The 10,045-nt window shown below is 38.1% G+C and overlaps 3 annotated features.

Annotated features, from left to right (window-relative positions):
• Positions 3,265-3,534: an enhancer, noted in NCBI's record as "active region_28260". NCBI's record gives its function as "activates an Ori minimal core promoter by ATAC-STARR-seq in GM12878 lymphoblastoid cells {active_cell/tissue: GM12878}" and the evidence as "EXISTENCE:reporter gene assay evidence [ECO:0000049][PMID:35858748]".
• Positions 3,500-4,053: an enhancer, noted in NCBI's record as "H3K27ac-H3K4me1 hESC enhancer chr9:31519313-31519866 (GRCh37/hg19 assembly coordinates)". NCBI's record gives its function as "activates a minimal SCP1, AML or CMV promoter by ChIP-STARR-seq in naive H9 embryonic stem cells {active_cell/tissue: H9 hESC(naive)}" and the evidence as "EXISTENCE:reporter gene assay evidence [ECO:0000049][PMID:30033119]".
• Positions 3,675-3,734: an enhancer, noted in NCBI's record as "active region_28261". NCBI's record gives its function as "activates an Ori minimal core promoter by ATAC-STARR-seq in GM12878 lymphoblastoid cells {active_cell/tissue: GM12878}" and the evidence as "EXISTENCE:reporter gene assay evidence [ECO:0000049][PMID:35858748]".

The raw sequence follows: 10,045 nt of genomic DNA on the forward strand, positions 1-10,045 counted from the left end.
GGGATATTGGCCTGAAATTCTCTTTTTTTGTCGTGTCTTTGCCAGGTTTTGATATCAGGATGATGCTGGCCTCACAAAATGAGGTAAGGAGGAGTCTGTCTTTTCCTATTATTTGGAATAGTTTCAGAAAGAATGGTACCAGCTCCTCCTTTACCTCTGGTAGAATTTGGCTGTGAATCCATCTGGTCCTGAACTTTTTTTGGTTGGTAGGCTATTAATGATTGCCTCAATTTCAGAACTTGTTATTGGTCTATTCAGGGATTTGACTTCTTTCTGGTTTAGACTTGGGAGGGTGTATGTGTCCAGGAATTTATCCATTTCTTGTAGATTTTCTAGTTCATTTGCATAGAGGTGTTTATAGCATTCTCTGATGGTAGTTTGTATTTCTGTGGGATCAGTGTTGATATCCCCTTTATCATTTTTTATTGCATCTATTTGATTCTTCTCTCTTTTCTTCTATATTAGTCTGGCTAGTGGTCTATCTATTTTGTTGATCTTTTCAAAAAACCAGCTCCTGGATTCATTGATTTTTTGAAGAGTTTTTTGTGTCTCTATCTCCTTCAGTTCTGCTCTGACCTTAGTTATTTCTTGTCTTCTGCTAGCTTTTGAATTTGTTTGCTCTTGCTTCTCTAGTTCTTTTAATGGTGATGTTAGAGTGTCAATTTTAGATCTTTCCTGCTTTCTCCTGTGGTCATTTAGTGCTATAAATTTCCCTCTAAACCCTACTTTAGCTGTGTCCCAGAGATTCTGGTATGTTGTGTCTTTGTTCTCATTGGTTTCAAAGAGCTTATTTATTTCTGCATTAATTTCATTATTTACCCAGTAGCCATTCAGGAGCACATTGTTCAGTTTCCATGTAGTTGTGCAGTTTTGAGTGAGTTTCTTAATCCTGAGTTCTAATTTGATTGCACTGTGGTCTGAGACACTGTTTGTTATGATTTCCATTCTTTTGCATGTGCTGAGGAGTGTTTTACTTCCAATTATGTGGTTAATTTTAGAATAAGTGCGATGTGCTGCTGAGAAGAATGTATATTCTGTTGATTTGGGGTGGAGAGTTCTGTAGATGTCTATTAGGCCACTTGGTCTAGAGCTGAGTTCAAGTCCTGAATATCCCTGTTAATCTTCTGTCTCTTTGATCTGTCTAATATTAACAGTTGGTTGTTAAATTCTTCCACTATTATTGTGTGGGAGTCTAAGTCTCTTTGTAGGTCTCTAAGAACTTGCTTTATGAATCTAGGTGCTCCTATATTGGGTGCACATATATTTAGAATAGTTAGCTCTTCTTGTTGCATTGACCCTTTTACCATTATGTAATGCCTGTCTTTGTCTCTTTTGATCTTTGCTGGTTTAAAGTCTGTTTTATCAGAGACTAGGGTTGCAACCCCTGTTTTTTTGTTTTGTTTTGTTTTTGTTGTTCTTGTTTTTGCTTGATAAATATTTCTCCATCCCTTTATTTTGAGCCTATGTGTGTCTTTGCATATGAGATGGGTCTCCTGAATACAGCACACTGATCGGTCTTGACTCTTTATCTAATTTGCCAGTCTGTGTCTTTTAACTGGGGCATTTAGCCAGTTTACATTTAAGGTTCATATTGTTATGTGTAAATTTGATCCTGTCATTATGATGCTAGCTGGTTATTTTGTCCATTAGTTGATGCAGTTTCTTCATAGTGTCAATGGTCTTTACAATTTGCTATGTTTTTGCAGTGGCTGGTACCAGTTGTTCCCTTCCATGTGTAAAGCTTCCTTCAGGAGCTCTTATAAGGCAGTCCTAGTGGTAACAAAATCTCTCAGCATTTGGTTTTCTGTAAAGGATTTTATTTAGTTAGCTTAGTTTGGCTGGATATGAAATTCTGATTCAAAAATTCTTTTCTTTAAGAATGTTGAATATTGGCCTTCACTCTCTTCTGGCTTGTAGGGTTTCTGCAGAGAGACCCACTGTTAGTCTGATGGGCTTCCCTTTGTGGGTAATCTGACCTTTCTCTCTGGCTGCCCTTAACATTTTTTCCTTCATTTCAACTTCGGTGAATCTGATGATTATGTGTCTTGGGGCTCCTCTTCTCGAGAAGTATCTTTGTGGTGTCCTCTGTATTTCCTGAATTTGAATGTTGGCCTCTCTTGCTAGGTTGGGGGAAATTCTCCTGAATAATATCCTGAAGAGTGTTTTCCAACTTGGTTCCATTCTCCCCGTCACTTTCAGATACACCAGTCAAACGTAGGTTTGGTCTTTTCACATAGTCCCATATTTCTTGGAGGCTTTGTTTGTTCCTTTTTATTCTTTTTTCTCTAATCTTGTCTTCATGCTTTATTTCATTAAGTTGATCTTCAATTTCTGATATCCTTTCTTCCATTTGATTGACTCAGCTATTGATTCTTGTGTATGCTTCACGAAGTTCTCTTGCTGTGTTTTCCAGCTGCATCAGGTCATTTATGCTCTTCTCTAAACTGTTTATTCTAGATAGCAATTCCTCTAACCTTTTTTCAAGGTTCTTAGCTTCTTTGCATTGGGTTAGAACATGCTCCTTTAGCTCGGAGGAGTTTGTTATTAACCACCTTCTGAAGCCTACTTCCGTCAATTCATCAAACTCATTCTCCATCCACTTTTGTTCCCTTGCTGGTGAGGAGTTGTGATCCTTTGGAGGAGAAGAGGTGTTCTGGTTTTTGGAATTTTCAGCCTTTTTGCGCCTGTTTCTCCCCATCTTCACGGATTTATCTACCTTTGGTCTTTCATGTTGGTGACCTTCGGATGGGGTTTCTGAGTGGACGTCTTTTTGTTGATTTGGTGCTATTCCTTTCTGTTTGTTCTCCTTCTAATAGTCAGGTCCCTCTGCTGCAACTCTGCTGGAGTTTGCTGGAGGTCCACTCCAGACCCTGTTTGCCTGGGTATCACCAGCAGAGGCTGCAGAACGGCAAAGATTTCTGCCTGTTCCTCACTGTGGAAGCTTCATCCCAGAGGGGCACCCACCAGATGCTAGTCAGAGCTCTCCTGTATGACGTGTCTGTTGGCCCATGCTGGGAGGTGTCTCCCAGTCAGGAGACACGGGGGTCAGGGACCCACTTAAGGAGGCAGTCTGACCCTTAGCAGAGCTCAAACGCTGTGCTGGGAGATCCGCTGCACAGAATCAGCAGGTAGGGACGTTCAAGTCTGCTGAAACTGTGCCCACAGCTGCCCCTTCCCCCAGGTGCTCTGTCCCAGGGAGATGGTAATTTATCAATAAGCCCCTGGCTGTGGCTGCTGCCTTTCTTTCAGAGATGCCCTGCCCAGAGAGGAGGAATCTAGAAAGGTGGTCTGACTACAGTGGCTTTGCTGAGCTGTGGAGGGCTCCGCCCAGTTGGAACTTCCCCAGGGCTTTGTTTACACAGTAAGGGGAAAACCTAGCTACTCAACCTCAGTAATGGCGGACGCCCCTCCCCCGACCAAGCTCAAGTGTCCCAGGTTGACTTCAGACTGCTAAGCTGGCAGCAAGAATTTCAAGCAAGTGGATCTTAGCTTGCTGGGCTCCGTGGGTTGGGATCTGCTGAGCTAGGCCACTTGGCTCCCTGGCTTCAGGGGAGTGAACGGTTCTGTCTCACTGGCATTCCAGGTGCCACTGGGGTATGGAAAACAATTCCTGCAGCTAGCTTTGTGTCTGCCCAAATGGCCACCCAGTTTTGTGCTTGAAACACAAGCCCCTGGTGGTGTAGGCACCCGAGGGAATCTCCTGGTCTGTGGGTTGCAAAGACCATGGGAAACGTGTATATCTGGGCCAGGGTGCACAGTTCCTCACAGCACAGTCCCTCAAGGCTTCCCTTGGCTAGAGGAAGGAGTTCCCTGACCCTTTGCACTTCCTGGGTGAGGCAACGGCCACCCTGCTTCGGCTTGACCTCTGTGGGCTGCACCCACTGTCTAACCAGTCCCAGTGAGATGAACCAGATATCTCAGTTAGAAATGCAAAAATCACCCACCTTCTGCATTTATCTCGTTGGGAGCTACAGACTGGAGCCATTCCTACTGGGCTATCTTGCTAGGTCTCCTCAAGAGGTTTCTTAAAAGGGAAAAGATAAATGGAAACATTTGAAGATGAATATGGGAAAAAAGCAAATACAATGGTAAATTTAACAGCATGTTTATAGGCTGATTGCCATGAGCCAGTTTAAAAAAAAAGAAAGAAAGAAAGAAAAAACCTTGAATATTGAGGAAAGAACGGAAATAGTTGCTGGGGTCATTTTGTTGAGTAACAGGGAAGGCATTCGAGTGCATAAGAAATATGCACACATGATAGTAGCTAAAACACATTTCTCTTTCCTAATAACAAAATAGGAGAGAAATATGCCACAGATGTAGACAAGTGAGTTTAATCTTATAAAAGTGAGTTTGGTAACAAACTGATAAACTTAGTTTCTTAGTTTAACAAACATAGAAGCTTAGTCAGGAAACAGGAGAATGCTTAGAGACTTGAGGAGATTGGAGAAGGCAGAAAATGATAGTTGAAGAGAAAGAAGAAAAACGGGAAAAGCAAATGTGGTACGATTATTATTCTATTCTGTCATTTGTTTTCTTCCTTTTTAGTATTTAAGTGAGAACAGGTCAACTTTAGCAAGATTGATATATTTTAAAAAAGAAGAAGCAAAGAAAAAGAAGGTACTTTCAGTGTATTCTACTTCCTTCATGTCTGTCTGAATGTGTACTTGAACATTACCTAAGGTACTCCAGGGCTGCATGCTGTAGAACCTGATGATCAGTACAGACAACAGAAAGAAAACTGTTAGTGTAGTTAATAATGAGGGCTATCACAGCTGGAAAAATCTCTCTCTGCTTTCTCTCTCACTAATTCTGTTTTAAGTATGATCATGGTAAAAGTCAGCCCACAAGATGAACTCCAGTGATTATTGCTCTCTTGTGTTCATAAACTTGTCTAATCTCCTCCCACATAGAAGTAGGATTGATCTCTGTGACCAATAAATATTGTCAAGTGTGATTTCCAGTTAATAAAAGGCATTGTAATTTCTGCTTTGGTCTTTAGGACTGCTTACTATGGGGGAAGCCCATCCTGTCGTGAGGACATTTAAGCAGCCACATTGAGAGGCTTTCATGAAAAGGAACTGAAGCCTCTTGGTAACATCTAGCACTAATTTGCCAGCTTTGCAGCAGCATGACCTGAAAATGAACACTTCAACTTTAATCAAATTTTCAGGTGTCTGTAGCCCATGCCAACATCTGACTACACCCTCAGGAGGTACCCTGAGTCAAAACTTCCCAGTCAAATCTCTTTAAAATTCCTGACCCAGGGACACTGTGAGACATATCAAGTTAGTATGGTTGGATTAAGGTAGTAATCTTTGCAAAAGATATGTTATTAAGTATTAGATAACTAATAAAATTGTTCCATTGGAGAGATACCTAACAAGGTGAAATTGTATGGTGAAGAAAAACCACGTAGCTCACTGATTTTCTCTTTTCTTCAGGGTGCAAGCATTCCTGTAAGAGTTAGTTGGAATTTGAATCTGGGTAGGTTTGGGCCAAATTCCCACTGACTCCTATTTTTAAATTTTCTTCTTCAAACTTCACAATATTTTCTCCTGTCTCACGTTTATTTGATGGCTCACTTTAGACAAAGAAAGCTATCTTAGTTCCTGTCTTAGTCTTTTTGGCCTGCTATAATACAATATTATAAACTGGGTAGTTCATAAACACCAGGAATTTATTTCTTACAGTTGAGAGGTCCAAGATCAAGATATCTACAGACTCAGTGTCTGGCAAGGGCTTGCTTCCTCATAGATTGTGCCATCTCGCTGTATCCTCATGTGGTAGAAGGGGCAAACAACCTCCCTCGGAGTCTCTTTTTTTTTAATAAGGGCGCTAATCCCATTTATGAGGGCTCCCTACTCACGACCTAATCAGCTCCCAAAGGTTCTACCTCCTAATACTATCACTCTGGAGGTGAGGATTTCAAGATATGCATTTGAGGGGGCGAACACAAACATTTGGACGATAGTAGTCTCCTTAGCATAAATTCTGCATTTCAAAGTGCATTAAAAGTGCCTTACTAGTATCAGTGTAAATATACCAGATAGAACATAAAGGTAAATAATAGTAAATAGCCATCAAATACAAATGATCCATCGCTACTTGAAAAATTAGAAATAGAGAGAAAATAAAATACAGATTTTTTTTTAAAAAAAAGGCATATTTCGGCACTATGCAAACAAGAACGTAAAGTCACTTCAGACTGACTAGAAGTCTAGATTGTCAAACAGTGTGAACTGATAAAGTCATGCACTTTACCAATTTCAGATATACCTTCAAGGGATCATCAGCTGAACAAAGATAAGCCACAAAGAGAAAGTGAAGGTACTAGAAAGACTGAAAAGAGTAAATGTTATCAGTGTTATTTTCTGAATATCCATTTTTCATTTTCTTAGAAAGCTTCATCTTGTAAACATTTCCATAATAAATAGATTGATATCTTTATCATCTTCTCTTTCATTTTACCATGAGAATTTCTGAAATATATTAATTTAATCAATAAATATTTATTGAACACCTACTCTATGCCAGACACTATTGTAAGCACTGGGGATAAAGTAGTGAAAAAGAAGACATAGCCTCCTCTTCATGGAGTTTAAAACTAGTTAAGGATAAAAGCAGTAAGGAAACATATTGCAATATCAGGTGGCATTAAGTGCTATGCTATCTTAAGAAAAATAAAAAGATAAGATGAAACAAAATTAAAGATTCATGGTTTATTTAAGAGAGCATAATCAAAGTCTAGCAGAGTAAGATGTTCTTAAATAAGTACAAATTTGTTTCTCAGCACTTGAGTGTATGAACTCTGTTTCTTTGTGTTCCAAAGGTGAGTTCAATTTGGTTTCGATGGCTTCCTTATCTCTCCCCTCTTCTGAATATTTAGTGAGAAATTTAACATTAGTTATTTTGCAGAAGGGCCTTTCCTTTCCTTAGAGTCATGCAAGACTCCATACTTACCAACTTTGGAAAGCTTAAAGAAATACAACGAATTTATACACCATGGACCACACAAAGATATTCATTGTCCAAGGTTACATTGGTTATTCAAAGGCATACAGTACTGGTTCTCTGGCCATAGTCCCAGCTTTCTCATTGCTTTAATTCCCAAGGTGCTACACTTACATTTCAGTTCCCAGAAACCCAAGTGCTCCCTTAATTGTTCCTACCATTCCTAGGTCAGTGTGGAAGAGGGAAATATAAACCTTAAAGCAGCCAATTTATAAGAGTTAGGGAACCCACATATTCCTAAGGGTCACCTCTCTCCTCTTCTCAAAACCTAGAACTCAACCAGCCTCAGACAATCCACCTGTACCTCCCCTGAGCCTCTCACGTATTCCATGACAGTAAGGGAAATTAGAGTCCCTGGGGAAAGAGGCAAACAATACCTATCTTTCTTTTCTGAAAAGTCCATAGGAAAGTACTATAGCAAAGTTTTTATTATCTGACACAGAACATAGGATAAAAAGGTATTAAATCAGCTTCCTCCATTTTTAATAGAGTTACATTGTCAGATTTGAGGATTTTACTATTAAACATTGCCATGTATGTGCATCCAAACAGAGTAAACTGGAAAAAATGGGATGTGGTACAAGACTTACATATTCAGTATAAAGGAAAGCTAATTTGGGTTGGTTTGGCCTGTTGTAAGAGATCTAGAAATCTCTGCTGTTTATTGAGGTAAATATTTGACAATGGGGAATGAAATGAAGTATCAAAGAGTCTCAATATTCTGAGTGAGTAAGGCAAAGCAGGGAAAACCCAGACAGCCAAATATATGTTCTCTAGGTATGGTAAAAAATAAAAATAAATAATAAATAATAAAAAAAAAATTGACAAGAAGCACAGGCTTGGGATCAGGGGTAAGACTACTAATTTTAGGAAAGGAAATCAATGAGAATAATATATGAATTTCAAAGCAGATTTTTGGCAAAAAAAGTTTTTTAAAAATGCAAAAATCAAATGAACATGGGTTGCTTTTCATTTTTCATGAAGTACAAAATAGAATATAGTAACGGCTTCAACATTTCTGACATGGGGGGTACAGGAAAATAACCCTATGTCTCATGGCATGGGTTAAGGGTACCTTATAGTGAAGAAGCCCATAAACCCCAGGTTATCAAGGGTAGTCTACTGTTCTTTCATCTTATCAAGGCACAGAGAGACCAGATGAAAACCAGGTGAAGCTGGAAGAGGTATCATGTTGTACTGCTCCAGGGAAGGGCCCTGTCTGCTGTTACAGAGCTTCTTATAGTACAAGTCTGTGAATAGTCTTGAAAGCGAGGTATAAAAGGAAGGGACCTAGGCACCAGAGAGTCTAAATATAAATAGCAGTGCACATAGTTGCCTGGGAAATTGTATTTGAGCTATTAAAGCATTACTCCCCAACCATTTTATTTTCATTGTTGTCCCTTTAGGAAGTTTTATTGACATTTTCTTCCTGATAACACAACTGATGAAATTGTAATACCCCCAAATAGACTGCATTTGTTAACATACTGCATGCATATATGTGCTTTATACTTAAAAAGAGTAAGATTTTTTTGAACAACCTCATTGCAAGAACCACATTTTACTCCCTTGAGAATGGTATCAACCAAGTTAAGAATGCACACGTTAGAGAAAGAAAGGGAGTCTCTCCCATCTGAAAGTGAGCTTGGGTGCAATCCCTTCCATCAGGAAAAGTGTTTCTCCTGGTGATTCACCTGTCACAAGGCAACTGAGCTTCTGTGGTCATCCATACAACAATACTGCTTTTCTTTCTGTATTAAATCAAATAAATTAATGAAAAAAATCCAGACTTAAGACTGTAGAAATAAAACTCAAATAGTTGATTCTGAGTTATTACAAGAGTTTGAACTCTTATTGCCTGTCCAGTTGTGGTCATAAAATACTTTAGCAACAACTTTTAAAATTTTAACATTGCAGTTCATAATTCACACCTACTCTGTGACACAAAAATTCCATTTTTAGGTTTCTCAAGAGACTCATTTTCTAAACAAGAATGTTTAAAGCAATTATAATAATAATAGCTTCAAACTAGAAATAGCCCAAATGTCCACCAATAGCAGAATTATTCGATATATTAAGGTGTATTCATGGAATAGAAAACTACCCATCCATTAACAAAAAAAAAAAAATGAACTACTGATAAATGTAAACACATGGATAAATTTGAAAACATTATGTTGAACAAAATAATTTAGGTATAAAAGATACATGATATATGATACTTGTATAAAGTATTTACAATGTATGATGTATGGTTCCAATTATATGAAGTTCAAGTCCATGAAACACTATCCAATGTGATACCCTTATTAGGTGATAAAAATATTCCATATCTTGATGTGAATATTTGTGCTGTCCACCTAAGATTTGTGCATTTGACTGCATAAAAATTGTGCCTCAAACCACATAGTCATTTTAACTGACACACAAAAAAGTATTTGACAAAATTCAGCAATCTTTCTTAATAAAAACTCTTAACAGCTAAGAATAGAAGGAAAGTTCTTCAACATAATAAAGCCCATTTATGAAAAACCCACATCACAATCCATGGGGAACAACTGAAAGCGTTTCCACTAAGATCTGGTATAAGGCAGATACGTCTGCTCCCACCACTTGTATTCAACATAGCACTGGCAAGAGCAAATCATTCCAGAAAAAAAAATAAAAGCATCCAAATAAGAAAGAAATAATTGAAATTATCTTTATTTGCAGATGACATGATCCCATATGCAGAAAACCCCAAATATTTCACATACCAGAAAATCTGTAAGAAATAATAAATGAATTCAGTAAAGTTGCAGGATACAAAATCAACATACAAAAATCAGTTGCATTTTCACATATTTACACACAAATACTGACCTAGTTGAAAAAGAAATCAAGAAATCAATTTCATTTATAACAGTATCAAAAAATAAATACCTACAGATAAATTTAACCAACAAAGAGAAAGATTCGTACACTGAAATCTATAAAACATTAATAATAAAAGGAATTAAAGAAGACACAAATAAATGAAAAGATATCCCAA

This window comes from Homo sapiens, chromosome 9, assembly GCF_000001405.40.
Source record: "Homo sapiens chromosome 9, GRCh38.p14 Primary Assembly".
NCBI classification, from domain to species: Eukaryota; Metazoa; Chordata; class Mammalia; order Primates; family Hominidae; genus Homo; species Homo sapiens.